The sequence below is a fragment of the Homo sapiens genome, chromosome 5, assembly GCF_000001405.40.
Source record: "Homo sapiens chromosome 5, GRCh38.p14 Primary Assembly".
In the NCBI taxonomy this organism is placed as follows: domain Eukaryota; kingdom Metazoa; phylum Chordata; class Mammalia; order Primates; family Hominidae; genus Homo; species Homo sapiens.
Window position 1 is genome coordinate 115,922,596 of NC_000005.10, and position 18,340 is coordinate 115,940,935.

Sequence of the window (18,340 nt, forward strand, 5' to 3'; positions counted from 1 at the left end):
CCCCAGGGCTTAAGTTTGGCTGTAGAACTTTGCCAAAACAAACCTGGAGGAGCTGAAAGAGTACAGGTGGGCCTGGATCCTGAGGGTTCTGGGTCAAGGGGGAAGGAACATAAAGTTGAATGAGAGGTTATTTAAGCACTTTCCAATGATAAAAGATATAATAATCTGGCAAGACAGTGCTACCCCGTGGCTAGGGTAATTTTGGGAAGCTTGGAGAAAGCCTGAGCCACTTACTTAGGCCTAGCTAAGTGAAGTATAACCAGAACTACTAAGGCAGCTAAGAGATCAAAAGGCTCAGAGAAGTATGTGTGCTAGAGTGAACATACTGTGTAAGGCAGGAAGGCCCAGAGGTGACTGTTTACCAAAGCAATAAAGAATGTGCTGTTTAAAGGGGCATCAGCATCATTCAGAAGCTCAGAAGTGGCTGTCCTCTGAAGGCCAGGGCTGAGGGTAGGAAATGTTACAGAACTGGGTGCTCTGATAATAATAGGGATGATGGGGTCCTGAAATAACAGCGGTTAGGTCGTGCACTTCACTGCCGGGAGAAAAGTGGATAAGTTATCTTAATGAATTGCAAGGTGTCAGCCAAGTGTTACGGTCTGCAGTTTGCTATAGACATGTTTAATGGAACATGGCTTCAGTAGATGTAAGATGGATGGGCAGCCAGTAAAGACATTGCCTAATCTGTACAACCAAAAGAAATCAAGAATGGATCATCAGGAGGCTGAGAGCAGCTGCTGGAATAAAAAGTCATGAACCCTTTACTAGTGTCTGGTTCTGAGCCAGTTCTCAGATCCAGAACTCATTGATTAACAGAAACGCCAAATCTCCAGGAGGAAGCACCCTGCAATACCACCACAAATGCATAAGCTAATTATTTTCCCAGTGCTTCCCCTGAAGGGACTTTCTTGGGTAACTGTGCACTGGGTAATGGAAAACCCAATGTACTGGGAATTATTGGGCACAGTTTCCAAGTTGCCATTGATTCCCAGGGACCAACCATCATCATCGCCCCTTCCCCTATTACACTGGGAACATAGGAGGGCTGGGTAATACATTTAGTCCTGGCCCAGGTCTAGTTTATATTGAGTCCACTGGGTCCACAGGTCCACCTCATGGTTATTATGTTTTCCTTATCCTCGAATATATCTAACTGGTATGAGTGTTTGGTAAAACCTTACAGTGGTTCCCCAGTCTGTGGGATAAAAGATACAGTAGAAAGGAATACTAAGTGGAATCTTTGAAACTGCCCCTACACCACTCTTAGCCAGGATAATAAGTAAATGACAATATTGTAACTTGGGGGCAAGGGCAGAGATTAATGCCATGTTTAAAGACCTAAAAGGATTCAGGAATGGGTCTCCATCATGTCCCACTTAATTGACCAGTCTGCTCCCTACAGATGGATCCTTGAGGATGACAGTGGACTACTGCAAATTGGCCAATTATACCTGCTGTGGCAGATGTATTATCTTTGTTAGGGCAGATTAATAAGGCCCTCAGATAGTTGGTATGTGGCCATTGATCTGGGAAATGCCTTCTTTCCCATCCCTTATAGGAGGGAAGTCTAGAAAGTTCACATTCACTTTGGATGCACAACTGTCAACTATAAATGTTAACTCATCTGCCCGTCGTCATAATATAGTCAAAGGATCTGGATCCTCTGGACATTATATCACATTAGTCCACAGATTGATAAAATTGTGTGATTTGGACTGCATGAACAAGAAATTACAAACATATCAAAGGCCTCGGTAAGATACATGCCCACAGTGGTTGAAAGAGAAACCCTATAAAGATTCAGGGGTCTGGGATCCAAAGGTCTATGATATCCCTGTCAAAGGAATATTGTATTTCATAACTTCCCCACTCAGAAGTAAGCACAGTGGTTGGTAGGCCCCTTCAGATTCTGGAGGCAGCATATGTCATACAGAGAACACTATTCCAACCCATTTACACAAATAGCATCCAGCTCCGAATGAGTCTCAGAACAAAAAAGGGCTCTGCAGTAGGTCCAGGCTATGAGGCAAATGATTCTTCCTCTTGGACCATACTACCTAACAAACCCAATGATATTAGAGCTGTCAGTGATGGGAAAGGGTGTCATGTGGTGTTTCTGGGCATGTTCCAGTTGGAGAATAACAACATAGGCCCCCTAGAATTCTGCAACCAAGCCATGACCCCCATAGTAGAAAATTATAGACCATTTGAAAAACAATTCCTTGGGTGCTACTGCGCCCTGGTTGACACAAGTGATCATGCTTCCAGAACTGACCTGAGATCTGTCCAGCCCACAAAATCATAAGGCTAGGCAGACCCAGCAAAGATCTCTGCTAAGATGGAAGTGGTGTACATGGGAAAGAATGGGGCCAGAGTGCACACGTTAGCTGCACAAGTCCTGGCCCCAGTTTCGTTTTCCACTGTTGACCAATGCCTTTCCCTCAGCTCCTGGGTAAGACAATGGTGAGGAGAAACGCTTCCAATGGGCAGAACATTTGAGTTGTGCACATGGGCATCCACTGGGTATGAAAGTAAAAGTGGCCCAAGGTAAGAGTACTTATGGAAGCATAGGCAATAGCTAATGGCTTGGCTGGTTAGTTAATGGATCAGAAGATCAGGAACAAGGAGGTTTGGATAGGAGGCATGTGGGTGAATCTATGGGAATAAGCATGAAAATACAATCTTTCTTTTTGTTTGGTATCTGAAAAGTCTGAATCGTATGTTACCTGACAGAGAGCATCTATCACAAAGAGGTGCTTACACAATCAAATAGACAGAAAGACTCACTAGAATGTCACTCTGCCTCTGTTATTGGCCACTGCAGTGTTGGCACAATAGGAACTTGAGTAGAGAAGCCATAGTGACAGGGATGGAGGCTGCACATGGTCCTAACAGCAGGGGCTTCTGCTCACCAAGGCTGATTGAGCTACTGCTTGTGTCAAATATCCCATCTACCAGTAACAGAGAGCAAGGCTCAGCCCCTGATTCAGCACCTTCGCTTGAGGAAACCAGCCACTTGGTGGCAAGTAACTTTGGATGCCTTCCATCTTGAATAGGGAGCAAATTAATTCTGACTGGAATTGATACATATTCTGGATATGAACTTTCCTTTCCTGGCTGCATGGCCTCAGCCAACAACACTATCCAAGGACCTACAAAGGGTTTGATCCACCTACCTAGGATCCTACATAACCTCACAAAGGACCAAGGAATTCACTTTACAACAAAGGAGGTACAGCAGTGAATACAGATCAATGAGACTGATTGACTGGTCTTGTCACAAGCCCCGAAACCTAGAAGCTGCTAGATTGATAGAGTAATGAAATGGCCTTTTAAAGGGACACCTGAACACCAGCTTGGAGATGATACCTTGTGAAGAGGGACATATTCTATAGGATGTAACATATACCCTAATTATAACAAATATATGGTGCTGTGTCTCCAGTAGGTAGACTCCGTAAGTCGAGGCATCAAGAGGTAAAAGTAGGAGCGGCCCCACTTCTCCCAGTGATCCACTTGGGAAATTTGTGCTTCTGGTCCTCACAAGTCTAGGATCTATGGGTATAGAAGTCTTGGTTCCCAAAAAGGAAATGCTGCTTTCAAGCAGAACGAGAGTCACATTAGCTTTTAGTCTGCAGCTGCCTTCTAGTCCTTCTGGCTCCTCAAATCAGGAGACCAGTAGGCAAAGAAAGGAGTTTGCATCCACCGTTACTCCACAGCTCATTGAAGTCTGACCAAAAGAGTGTCTTTCAGAGTACCATAAATAGTAGCTATAATGGCTCATCTAGTGGAAATCACAGCCATTTTGGAGACAGATTTCATTAGGACTCTGCTACTACTGACAATACAGCTCACTCAGTGAGATGCCAAAACCAAAACATTTAACATACTCTGCCTCCTCACACTATATATATATATAGCCTATCAAGTTACCCACTGCATATATATATATATATATATATATATCCTATTATATACTAGGTAACTTGCCTGTGTAAGATCACAGGATTTGGGAAATATAATTTCTATGTTATAACTAGCTTCTATAATAGATTGCTTAGTAAAATGAATAGGATTGGGAAAAAGATAAAAAGGAACTTACTGATGGCTGGGTGTGGTGTCTCAGGCCTGTAATCCCAGCACTTTGGGAGGTCGAGGCAGGTGGATCATGAGGTCAGGAGATCGAGACCATTCTGGCCAACATGGTGAAACCCTGTCTCTACTAAAAAATGCAAAAAATTAGCTGGGCGTGGTGGTGGGCGCCTGTAGTCCCAGCTACTCAGGAGGCTGAGGCAGGGGAATCACTTGAACCCAGGAGGTGGAGGTTGCAGTGAGCAGAGATCGCGCCACTGCATTCCAGCCTGGCAACACTGCAAGACTCCGTCTCAAAAAAAATAAATAAATAAAAAGAAAATAAAAAGAAACTCACTGATATCCAACGTTTCAACCATCCACACCTTAACAAGTCCCTTTACTTTGAGCCCATCATAAAATAAACCATTGTCAGTGTTTGAAAGAATTCCATGTCCTGCATATCCGAGGGTGATTAATTACATGGCTTCTAGAGTCAAAACACGATTTCCAAACCTAGTTTGGTCTTTTAATTAAACCAAATAATCTCTGTAAGTCTGTTTTCTCATCTGTAAATAGGAATGCCAGTGGTACTTACCTCATAGAACTATTGTGATGATTACATGCCATATAGAGTGCTTAGCATGTGCCAAACACAAAGAAGTTCAGCATTTCATAAAATTGTGGCTTTTTTTTTTTTTAACTTACATGCCTTTGCCTCAGCAGTAAGACCATACAAATACAGAAGGAACAAGTCACTGGTTAGTAAATAGTTTTTCACTTTCAAGTGTTTGTTCCTTGGAACGTGCTCATCTGGAACCTTCTCTCTCTGATACCGTTCTTAACTACTCAAGCTCCCGAATTTTGGTGTGCTAAGACCTTTCCTCACCACTACGCCAGTCTCTCTTAGGGTTGGGGAGAGACTGCATATTGCAGCACAGAAATTAAGATCAGAGTATTTTCCACAGTGAAGCTGTTTTAGTTTGAAGGGGCAGAGGTTCTAATTTTTACATTTAAAACTCCCTTTGTAGTTTACCTTCCACTTCCTGGAGTTTATTTTTATAGGTACTTTTCATGTTCCAATGAAACCAGAAGAGATACTATACACAAACCTAAAAAACCTTTATTCTAGAATTATTAACAATACATATTCATGTTTTTCAAAGACCTCTCCCCCCAATATGGAGGCTAAAATAGATTATTTTCATATTCCATCCTTTGACACTAACCGCCACCACCACTCTATCCCTACCCCCACTCCAATGAGCTGGCCCTGTGAATGTGGCCTGGGCCTCCCAGAAAGTTGTCCCATGTTGGCTTTAATTAGATATTATTTCCCATACATGTGGTATATTTTATGCTAGTTATTTGTAGAAACAACAGACGCTGGTTACTGACTATTCCTTCTACCTTTAAGCTGCTTTCTAGTGCCCTACAATGGACCACATAGGATTAGAGACACTGGTAAAATTATTTTTTGCACAAAAAGAGCTTCTAAACAGCTTTATAATGTGGAAGTCATTATCTTTTCAGTTTTCACTGGACCAGTACTACCTATGCCCTGTTCAAATGATCTTTAAATGTACTTTAAATGTGATTGCAGTAAAATCTACCAAACTAAAATGCATGTTTAGATGACAGAAATTAGCTACCCTGTAGTTCTGGAGATTTGAAACAATTTGCAGATTTGCTTGTTTAGTAGTCTGGCAGTGGCAACCTGGAATAGGCCACCGTGTGCCAAGATGATCTTTTGCACATATCCACAATCACCACTTTCAGATTCACTATATAATACACTCTTTTTAATGCAGCCATCACTTATCAAAAGCCTAATTCATAAGAGCTTGTGATGTTTTACACCAGGTAGGAGAGGCATAGTTTTGGAGCACAGGGAGGACACAGCTGGGGAAGGATTTCAAAAGAGATTGAACTGCTGGACACAACTGACTGAGAGAAGATCCAGCCAGAGCAGGATCTTTCAACCTCTGCACTTACATTTTGGGCTGGATAATTCATCGTTGTTGGGGGGGTGTCCTGTGCATTGCAGGATGATTAGCAGCAGCATCCCTGGTTTCTACCCACTAGATGCCAACAACAGCCCCCCCTCCAAGTCGTAACAGCAAAAATATCTCCAGACACTGCCCAACATTATTATGACACCTATGAGTCAGGGTGCATCAGGTAATCGGAATGAGTCAGGGTGGAGCAGGTAATCGGAATGAGTCAGGGTGGAGCAGGTAATCGGAATGAGTCAGGGTGCATCAGGTAATCGGAATGAGTCAGGGTGCATCAGGTAATCGGAATGAGTCAGGGTGGAGCAGGTAATCGGAATGAGTCAGGGTGCATCAGGTAATCGGAATGAGTCAGGGTGGAGCAGGTAATCGGAATGAGTCAGGGTGGAGCAGGTAATCGGAATGAGTCAGGGTGGAGCAGGTAATCGGAATGAATCAGGGTGGAGCAGGTAATTGGGAATGAGTCAGGGTGCAGCAGGTAATTGGAATGAGTCTGGGTTGCAAAGCCAACCTCAGTTGAGAACTACTGACAGAGAGAATTCAGAGTTCTAGGGAAACACTTGGTATATAGTCTGTACTTTGTTAGGGCCCTGATGGCAGTGGCACCAACTATGAACTACTAAGAGGCATTTATCATATGCTGTCAAGAGGCTGACATTTAAAGCCCCTTTCAGTTGGATCCCAGTCTACACTTCTCAGAGTCTACTCTCTTCCTTGAATGCCAGTGTTAGATACTGATTAAGGGATTATGCAATCTATTTAGTGGGTCCTAACCAATATTTTTTAAAAAATGAAATAATGGAATAGAATAAAATAATACAGAAAATATCAATACATTTTGTGGAATAATACTGATTTGCAAGATTTTTTATTCTGTGTGTGTGCACAGCTGTATGTTTAGTCATATTGTTACCAGAAAGGAGTCCCGATCCAGACCCCAAGAGAGGGTTCTTGGATCTCGTGCAAGAATGAATTCAGGGCTAGTCCGTGGTGCAAAGTGAAAGAAAGTTTATTAAGAAAGTAAAGGAATAAAAGAATGGCTACTCTATAGACAAAGCAGCCCCGGGAGCTGCTGGTTGTCCATTTTTATGGTTATTTGGGGTGGATTATTCATGCCTCCCCTTTTTAAACCATATAGGGTAACTTCCTGATGTTGCCATGGCATTTGTAAACTGTCATGGTGCTGGTGGGAATGTAGCAGTGAGGAAGAGCAGAAGTCACTCTCGTTGCCATTTTGGTTTTGGGGGGTTTTGGCTGGCTCTTTTACTGTGTTATAAAGTTTCAGTGCCACAAAAGAAATAGTACTCGAAAATAAATGTTTGTTTTTAATTCTCAGCAAGGCAAGGTACTTCTATAGAAGGGTGCACCCTTACAGATGGAGCAACGATGAGCGCACACTTGGACAAGGGAGGGGAAGGGGTTCTTATCCCTGACGCACGTGGCCCCCGTTGTTGTGTCTTTCTGCTATTGGCCAGGGTTAGACCGTGCAGGCTAAACTAATTCTGATTGGCTAATTTAAAGAGATCGACGGGGTGAGTGGTGTGGCGGGAAAAATGGTTATGACAGAGCAAGTAATTGGAATGAGTCAGGGTGCATCAGGTAATCGGAATGACTTACGGCGGAGCCGGTAATTGGAATGAATCAGGGTGGAGCAGGTAATCGGAATGAGTCAGGGTGCGTCAGGTAATCGGAATGAGTCAGGGTGGAGTAGGTAATTGGAATTAGTCAGGGTGCATCAGGTAACAGGAATGAGTCAGGGTGGAGCCGGTAATCGGAATGAATCAGGGTGGAGCAGGTAATCGGAATGAGTCAGGGTGCGTCAGGTAATCGGAATGAGTCAGGGTGGAGTAGGTAATCGGAATTAGTCAGGATGGGGCAGGTGATCGAAAAAGGTTGCTTTACGAGGAAGTTAAGTTTAAAAGTAGAAGGCAAAAAATTGAACATACTGACATATTGATTCTTTGAAAAGAAATTTAGAACTCATATCTAACAATTGCAACCTGTTTTATCATCAAGGTCTTTATGACCTGTATTTTGTGCTGACCTCCTATCTCATCCTGTGACTTAGAATGCCTTCACCGTCTGGGAATGCAGCCCAGTAGGATTCAGCCTCATTTTACCCAGCTCCTGTTTAAGATGGAGTTGCTCTGGTTCACACGCCTCTGACAATATTGGATATTGATGTAAAATGTATTCCTTATCAAAAGTTGCAGTCAAAAAAGTTTGAGAATCCCTGTTCTATTTTAACATATCCCCTGGACATACACTTCTCTCCTAATGCCTAACATATCAGTGTCCTATTGCCGAAACAGATTATTACAAGTTTAGCAGCTCGAAACAAGACAAGTTTATTCTCTTGCAGGAGGTTAGAAATCTAAAATCAGTTTCACTGCTCTAAAGGCAAAGTGAAAGGCTGGTTCCTGGAGGCTCCAGGAGAGAATATTTTCCTTGTCTTTTCCAGTTTCTAGAGCTGCATTCCTTACATTCCCTGGCTTATGGCCCCTTTCTCCATGTCCCAAGTCAGGAGTATAGCATCTTCAAATCTCTCTCTGCTCCTCTTCATATTGCCTTCTTTTTCTCTGATCTTCTGCCTCCCTCTTCTAGGGCCTCCTGTGATTACATAGAACCCCCCAGGATAACCCAAGGTAATCTCCCCATTTGAAGATCCTTCACTGAATCACTTTTGCCAAGCACCTTTTAGCATATAAAACAACACTTACAAATTCTAAGAATTAAGACACGGACATCTTCACACGTAATGTGTGCTTTACTTTTGTGAGAAGCCCATTGTTCTCTGTACTGACTCAAATCAACCCCTCAATTAAGGCTTTCATCTCACTTCCCAGAATTGGACATGTTGAGTAAGAAAGGTCCTTATATTTCTAATCCATAAGATGAGGCTAGGCTAAATCCTTGGTGTTCAAGCTCCTTTTCTGAAGCTCTTGAAATTTTGGTTCACACAAAATTTTACTTGGTATGACAATATGTGAATAAGATGAAAGTTGAACTGCTCTGTTCCCCCATAGTGACCTGCCCAGTTTCTCACCGCAGAGCCATCCCACTTGCATCTATAGCTGTTAGAGCCAGGGAGACCTGAGAAATTTTCACATTAAACTCCTACCTTTGCTATGCAGAAAGTAATGGCTACAGAGGTGAAATAACTCTGTGGTACTGGCTCTGCTGTTAATCAGTGGAGTCATTGTCATATACTCTCTGAGACTCAATTTTGTTAGCTACGAAAATGAGCATTGAAAGACTTTGTAAAGAAGTGGGATGTGAGAGAGATTTTGAGAAGCATTTAAATTGGTAGGAAGGAGTAGGATATTATGATACGTAGAATGTTTAAGATAGTCCCCCAGATCTGTGCATCCTAGTGTACAAACCCTGAATAATCCCCTCCCCGTTGTGTGGGCAATGTGTGGGAATATGATACGACTTTACTTCTGTGACTAGATTACATTATGTGGCAAAGGTAAAGCGACTTTTGTAGATGTCATTAAGGTTCCTACCCAGTTGACTTTGAATTAACAAAGAGGAATATTTTCCTGGGTGGATCCAGTCTAATCAGGCAAGCTTTTAAAAAGAGGGTAGGGTCCAAGCATTTGGGGCAGGGAGAGATTTGAAGCAAGAGAGACATACTTTTGCTAGCCTCGGAGAAGCAAATAGCTATATTGTAGAGTGGGCCACATGGCAGGAAGCAGCAGCCTGAGATAGCTGAGGAGCTGAGAGAGATGCTCAGCTGACAGCCAGCAAGACAACAGAGGCCTTGGTCCTACAGCGGAATTCTGCCAACAGCCAATGAGCTTAGAAGAGGACCATGAGCCTCAGGTGAGATTGTAGCCCTGGACAACATTGGTCGCAACTTGGTGAGACCTTAGACAGAGGATGGATTCCAGACCCATGGAAAATTTGAGGTTATAATGGGAATTGTTTTAAGCCTGTAAGTTTATGGTAATTTGTTATACTGCAATAAAAAAGCTAATAACAGTATTCAAGGGATTCACCAGAGCAGAATCTAAACTATGCAGGTGTGGTATATGAATATGAATATTAAGTGATTTTATCCAACAACATGGAGGAATCTCAAATGCATATTTGCTCATTGAAATAAACCAGACCCCAAAGGCTGCATACCGTATGAGTCCTTTTAGATGACATTCTGGAGAAGACAAAACTATAGGGATGAAGAACAGTGGTTATCAAAGGTTGGGAATAAGGGAAGGAGCTGACTACAAAGGGCAGCATGTGCAAACTAAGGTAAGTGACCTGTTCTGTATTATGACTGTATGTTCTGTATTATAATAACATACAGGCTTATTAGAAACATGACATGCTGCTTTGACCAGCGTCACAGCTGCATATGGCGATCTGGATCATTCATGTGGCATGCATGCAAGTTCAGACTGACTGTGTTCCACTGATGGCCAAGGAGTCACCGGCATCACACACAGTTATCCAGTGTTCCTTAAGATAATATGACCCAATAGGGTAAATAAACGGGAAAAATGGTGTTAGTCATTCCTAACAGTGCGGTCATGGTAATCACGACTGGTTATTCTTTTGAGATGGGAAGAGTAAAGTATGGAAGCTAAAATCTGTGAGCCAAGGTCAAGTTTATGCAATGTTTAGCCACAAGGCTTATCTTTGAATGGCCTGTAAAGCAATAGTACTTACTCTCCAACAGTAAATGCCATGTCTTTTGACCTAGCACTTGCATGCTTGCTTTTATTCACCCCAAGTAAAAAATCCCAAAGAATTCCATCTTCTTTTAAAATTAAATTTAAATTATTCTGCAAAAACCTTAAAATGTTTTCCTAAAGCTTGTCTGCTTTGTAGATCCCTCCACTACTTTTCAGTACCACTAAATATAGTAGAACAAAGTTCTTAATGTGAAACTTCAAAGCTTATTTATGCCATGATGATACAAGTGCTTACTATTAAGACATTTCCTTTTTATTCAATAAACTTCTGACTTATATACAAAGGATTCATTGCTCAATAAAAATCACATTACCAAATAAAAGTGAAACGATTTATTGTATTCTGTGGGCTGCATCTACAAAGATGAAAGTATCCTCAATAGAGGGTTTATTAATTTATAAAGAATGTAGACTATCCATGAGAGTTCCCTGTACATTAACAGTCCGGCAGGAATATTAAAAATCCAGGGATTCAATTTCCATTTGCAAAGCGGGGAGGATGCTGCCCTACCTATCTCTGGTTTGATGATCATCAAAGTTTTCAATGCAGGAATCCCAGAGTTTGCAGCCAAATAGAAACAATTTTGTGGTAACCTTTACAATAGGCTTTTCCCCTCACTTAATCCACTTTCATCAAGTGAATGTAAAAAATAACTAACAAGCTAAATCACCATACTTATTTCAGGGCTGGTCATATATATTAGATCACCTGGCATTATGTAAGCAAGAGTACAGGAGCTGGAATGAATTGGCTTATTAAAGGAAGTAAAGATCAGGCTTTCAGGAGTGGAGGGCTGCAGAGAGGGAGTGGTGGGTGTGTTGTTTGAGAAGCAAACTAGGCCTTGAAAATTAGGCTGAGGAGTTCTGATGTTATTCCCTGAAAACTTTTAAGCACATTGACAATTTTTTTTGATAAATGCACATTCAACCAGTGTTTGAAATATCTAGCTTCATCAATTTGGAAAAGAAATACTTAAGAAATAATTATGTGTTCCAGTTAAACATAATTGAATAAGCGTTCTTAGTACACCATTCTCCTCAAAACTGACTCAAAAATCTAACAATAATAGGACAGAAACAAAAAGATCTTCCCACCGCTGCAAACCAAAACCAAAACAAAACAAAAAACCCTCTATCTTCAATAAAATAACGAAATGGTCTTAAGTCCAGGCCACAAACTGAAAGCATACTTGAAATATTGTGAAAGCAAAGTGAGGGAGAACAGTGAAAATTCAACCTACCTTCTAAGATCTTTAGCTGGAAACATTTCCTTGCAAGGAATTGTTATATTGTAGAAAAGTTTATCTTAAAAAAATCTTTTAGCGTGGTCATGCCTAAGGATGTAGATGGCCCAGCAGAGAAGCAGGGAATCCCTCGAGACAGTTTAGGAACCACAGGACGCCGGGCCGTGGGGCTGAAGGAGAGCTTTGCTGATGTGCCACCCTCACCCACATCAAGCCTCCTTGTCTGGGGAGATCACGTGAATCCACATTTGAAGACCTGCTCTTCGGATACCAGCACACAGAGCCTGGGTCTTAAAGCTTGGGGTGCCACATTGCCTCTTGAATGGTAACATTTAAAAATTAAAAAAAGACATGCTTCCAAAAGAAATAAGATACTACTGAAATAATCTGAGACAAAGAAGACAGCTGCCCTAGTTCACTCTCTTACCCCTCCTCACACTATTTTTTGACCCTGGTTGACAATATAAGCAACGATTTTAAATGAATAACATGGCACATATACATAGATACCACCAAAAAAAGGAGTGAGAGAGGAAAACAGCAAAATGCGCTCAAAGACATAGGAATTAATTAAGCCCTGTAGAGTTTCAAAGAAATGTTAGATAGCATGATTTCTCTAAAAAGAGAACTCAAAGAACAGATGTGAGAATTTAAAGAACATAAGAGAGAAGAAAATAAAAAGACCTGGATAACTCAAAAAGAAATAAAAGAAAAAATAATTATACTTTAGAAGAGATGCAGGAAGGAAGGGAGGAATGGAAGAAAGAAAGATTAGGAAGAAAGAAAGAAAAAACGAGCTTAAGAAAAATCATACCATGAGACAGAAAAAAACAAAGGACATAAAAATTGATTCTAGAGAATGTGATAGTTATGGAAGATAGATAAAGGAACTTCAACAGTCACACACTTAGTATTTCTAAAGTACAGAACTGAATAAATAGAACCCCAAACATATTTAAGAATATGATTTTTTAAATAAACTTTGTAGATGTAAACAAAATCTTGAGTCTGCAGGCTGAAAGGGCCCAGGAGATGCAAGAAAAAAATACATAAGTCCATATGTACACAAATTCACTCCAATATAGGGTCTGCTGGAGTTGCTAAATTTCAAGATAAGAAAATTGATAGGAAAAGTGAGTTACGTAGAAAAGGGGAAAATCAGATTCTCTTTATACTTCTCCATAGTTGTATTATCTACAAAACATGTGGTAATGGATTAGAATTGGAGACATCTGCGGGAACTCATGTTTAGCTGAATATAGATACAGCTGGATATATATAGAAATATTTATACATATGCTTATTGTGATACTATGATTATGTATAGTCATAATATATATTATGTATGTGTATATATATAATCATCATACATGTATGAAATAGGCTTTTGTCCGAAGTTCCTGGCTCATAACTCCCATAGCCCTTGTTACACTTGTTACAGTCTTTTGTTATAATCTTGGGGCACTTCAGGCCTCAGAAAACTGAATCTCTCTCTCTCTCCCCTTTTCCTGTCCTCCTCTTGCCTGCTGAAGGCAGGACTCTAATCTGGTTGTGGATCAAAAGGCCCTGCTTCCAGAGAGGCTCCTGCCCCATACTCTGGAGGAAGGAATGCTGCACAGAGAGACCAAGAAGAATCTGAACAGGTCTGGCCTCCCTGGCTTTCCTCATCAGTGTATGAACTCACATATGAGATCACACCCTTTTTGTCCAATCACCTTTCTACGTGGTTGTCAATTTTGCCTATAATGAAGGTTCCATTAAAAACCCCAAAGGATAGGGTTTGGGGAGCTTCCAGAGAGCTGAACACCTAGAGGCCAATAGAAAGGTGAAGAACTCATCCATGTGCTGAGAGGGTGGTGCACCCCAACTCCACGGGGACAAAACCTCCTACATTCAGGGCCCTTCCAGACCTCGCCCTTTGTATCTCTTCCTCTAGCTGTTTATTTAAATACTTTAAAATATTCTTTGTAATAAACTGGTAAACATACGTGTTTCCCTGAGTTCTGTGAGCCAGCCTAGCAAATTAGTCAAAACCAGAAGGGGTCATGGGAACCCCAACTTGAAGCCAGTTGGTCAGATGTTCTAGAGGCCCCAGACTTGCACCTCAAAGGGAAGGATTAGGGCAGTGTTGGGACTGAGCCCTCACCCTGTGGGATCTGATGCTGTCTCTGTGTAGACAGTGTCAGAACTGAATTGGAGGATACCCAGCTGGTGTCCACTGCTTGGTGTGTGAGGGAAACCCGCACACATTTGGTCACAGACATCTTCATCTCTGTTGGTGATTGTTGTGGTGATGTGAGAACAGAGGAAGAACATGGTTTGAGAATTTTCCCTATACACATATATACACTGGTTAGTACACACACATGTTTCTTTGCTCTGCCAGCTGAGAGGGTCTAGAAGAAGCAAAACAAGAAGAAGTGCTACCCTATAGGGCAATAAGGACACCCAGCACACAGATCTTGTATTCCAAATGCCATTCTACAATAAAGGGAAACAAGGCTCCCTGGAGAAGTAGCTGATACTAGAGCTGGGGCAGGGCTGAGCCTGCAGCGTCCCATGGTGCCAGAAAGTAAGGAGATGCTCAAATAACAAAACAAAGGATATATGTCACCTGGACTCGGAAGCCAACCGAAAGAGCTCCTCATGGCCAAAGCTGAAACAATTTGAGCAACAAAATAAATAACAGTATTGGATTATAACCAAAATAATAAAATACATATCCTTGTGTCCATACTGACACAAATAAATATATTGAGTAAATAAATAAATAAATACATAAATAAGAATAGGCAAATCTGTACAAAAGAATTCCAAGTAATGTATGTATGCACTGTCCCCCTCAAGTAGGTAAAGCATAACATCCTGTCCCTTAAGTCCAGGCTGCAAACAGTGACTTCCATCCGATAAGTACAGTATAGAAAGGGGAACAAAGAGTGGAGAAACCTGACAAACACTGCCTTAGCCCTGGAATCAAGCCCAGCATTGGTGATAAGTTGTGTTCATGGCATGCACCCTTGATATGATAAGATGAGAATGATGCTTTACCTCTGTTCTCTTCCTCCCACGAATCCATAACCCCAAATATAATCATGGCAATAACATAGACAAATTGAGGGCCAGTCTCCAAAGTACCCTGATTTGTACTCCTAAAAACTGTCAAGGTCATCAAACACAAGGAAAGTCTGAGAAACTGTCACAGCCCAGGGAAGTCCAAGGATACACAATGATTAATATGATGTGGTATCCTGGATAGAATCCTGGATCAGAAAAAGAAAAGCAGGTGAAAAGAAATTCAAATTAAGTGTGGACTTTAGTTAATTATAGTATATCAATATGTATTCAGTAGTTTTAACTGACTAATGTATTTAATATACTAATGTGAGACATTAACAATAGGAGAAACTGTGAGGGTTCCCTTACGCCCTTGGTACTATCTCTGTGACTTTTCTGTAAGTGTAAAACTATTTAAAAATTAGAAAATATTTAAAAACAAAATTTTTCAACCCAGAACACATATATGGCATGAGTTTCTTTCCTTCCTACTTTTTTCTATCCATCCATATCTCCATCTCTCCTTCCATCCATTTTTCTGTCGTATATACATGGAGAAATGTCTGTCACACAGTCCACCACAGTTAAGGGCCACTACACCTAAACAGTGGATTTTGTAGGCATTTTCTGAACTGTTCGACTTATGTTTTAAAATCATGCTATTTCTATTAAAGCATTAAAGTCACTGTGCTTTTTAAATGAAGAAGTTGGAGAGAGAGATGTTAATTATCAAGAATTTTTTGTCCTGACAATATGCTAGCTGTAATAGGAGTCAACATACTGTTTCATTTTATAAAGGTATGCACGATATTTGGTCTAAGAGAAGGTTTGCTGAATGACCACAATCCATCAGTACATTTGATTGCAGTTAATTACATAATCAAAACCAAAAAACAATCAATCTGAGAGGGCTGATTTAAAAAAAAAAAAAAAGAAAAAACAAAAACAAGAAAGCATGTGCTTGATTTTTTTTTTCCTGTGGGAACACATACACACTCAGTGCCTTAATTGTGTGATTTCGCTATTAAGATACATCATGTCTTTTACAGTCAGCCCCCACAGGAAGGAGAAATACTCAATTGATCCTATTTCTATCCAGGAGAGCTCAGTTAGTTTCTAGTTAAGAATTAAACATATCTAAAACGAACAATACACTACTGACTTCACAGTAGAACTCTGCCTAATATCAGAGGTGGTTCTGACTTGATACAAATAATTGTTGTTTCAGGATAATATAATTGCAATAAGGAGTTTGTTATGAATAAATGGAAAGAATACAAATCTTGAGAAGAGTCACTGCCTTTTCTCCCTATCCCTTTGTGGAAAACCAGAATATCTCACCCTAAAATATGAAGGATTGAGCTGAAGGCAATGAAGAAGAAGCAGATTCAGGAAAGCTCTTTGCTCTTCCTCTATTTGCCTAAAAGCAGGATATAGACTCACAAAGACAAAAGATATCCTGCCTGCTTCTCTACCAGGGAGAATAAATGTTAAGCACTGGAGACGGTTTTAGAACCTTATGAACCCGAATATGGATGAGCTTTACTAACTGGCCTTTATCTGCCATTCATTTGCCTTCCAGGCATTGCCACCCCTGGAGGCTTAAAATCCTTTCACTTTGTCTTGTCACTACTTAAAAATGTACTATTCTTTGTTGACGATGCTATTTAGCTGGAATTCAAAGCCACCTTTTTGAAAACTACTCGTTCCCTGGGAGTCTCCCATGTATATATGAAATATATATATAAATAAACATCTGCTTGTTTTTCTCTTGTTAATCTGCCTTTTGTTACAGGGAGCTGTTCTAACTAAGAACCTATGAGGGTTGAAGAAAAATTTATTTGTCTTCTCCTACACCTCAAAGCAGCAAAGGTGGCCAGATCTCTCACCTTTCAAAATTTTGTGTTAATTGGAGTTAGATTTTTAAACTGCAGAATTTTAGTACTGGTAGAAATAATCAAGATCAATCCAAGAGTCTAAGCCCTTCATGTTGCAGATGAGGAACAAAGGATTTTCATACTCACTTTTTGTTTTTGTTTTTTGAGACAGTCTCCCTCTGTCACCCAGGCCGGAGTACAGAGGAGCAATCGCAGCTTACTGCAACTTCTGCCTCCAGGGTTCAAGGGATTCTTTTGCCTCAGCCACCTCAATAGCTGGGATTACAGTCGTGCACCGCCACACCTGGCTAATTTTTGTATTTTTAGTAGAGATGTGGTTTCACCATGTTGGCCAGGCTGGTCTTGAACTCCTGGCCTCAAGAGATCCACCCACCTCAGACTCCCAAAATGCTAGGATTACAGGCATGAGCCACTGCACACATCCTTCAGCTCAGTTTTTAGGAAAACTGATAAACCTAATTCTGCTGGCAAAATAGATAAATTGAGGTAGATATTCATTTTACAAAATGATCCAATGCAGTATTCTTTTAAACATGCCCCCCATATGTTTTAAAAGTATTATTCAATTTATAAAAATGGAATTCACACACAACTTTCAGGAATTCACCTACAATTAGCAAATACACATTTCTGTAATGTCTCCTGTGTACAAAGCTCTGTGTTAGGCACCACAGGGATTGCAGAACCCCAGCTCCACTATGAAGTAATATATGACCTTGAAGAAAACTTTATTCGTCCTGCCTCCCAAAGCTACCGTCTTCCAGGCTCACAGAATCGGTGGTGGCAGCATTTTTCTTTTTGAGGTGTGTCCAAGGTCAAGGTTTGAAGTAGTTAGGAAGAAAATCTGATAAGAAGAAAAACAAAACCCAATAATGAAAACAACATATGGAATAGGGAGAAAAGTCAAGGAGAATTTACATTTCTAAAGATGCTATGTTTCTGGCCAGGGGAAATAATACATTTTGCCAGTTGGCTTCATGGTGTCCCAATCTGGGCCCAGACACAGATGGAACAGATGTTGGAGCTTCTTCCTGGAACTGTATGGCCAGACTCTTATCCCTTAAGATTCTCTGACTTAATCCTTGAAGAGACTGGAACTTCCTGGTCTCTGAATTCATGCATGTTCTTATCCAGAGGTAACAATGCTGAGGCTGTGCTCTGCTCTTATGGGACTAACAAGTGCACCATGTTCTTGGCAGTCCCTCTTTCTTTCTTTCTTTTTTTTTTTTTGAGACGGAGTCTCGCTCTGTCGCCCAGGCTGGAGTGCAGTGGCGCGATCTCGGCTGACTGCAACCTCCGCCTCCCGGGTTCGAGCAATTCTCCTGCCTCAGCCTCCTGAGTAGCTGGGATTACAGGCGCCC

General features: G+C 41.0%; 1 annotated feature.

Annotated features, from left to right (window-relative positions):
* Positions 7,358-8,557: an enhancer, noted in NCBI's record as "P300/CBP strongly-dependent group 1 enhancer chr5:115265650-115266849 (GRCh37/hg19 assembly coordinates)". NCBI's record gives its function as "activates an origin of replication core promoter dependent on BRD2, BRD4, P300/CBP, MED14 and CDK7 cofactors, with strong dependence on P300/CBP, by STARR-seq in HCT116 cells {active_cell/tissue: HCT116}" and the evidence as "EXISTENCE:reporter gene assay evidence [ECO:0000049][PMID:35650434]".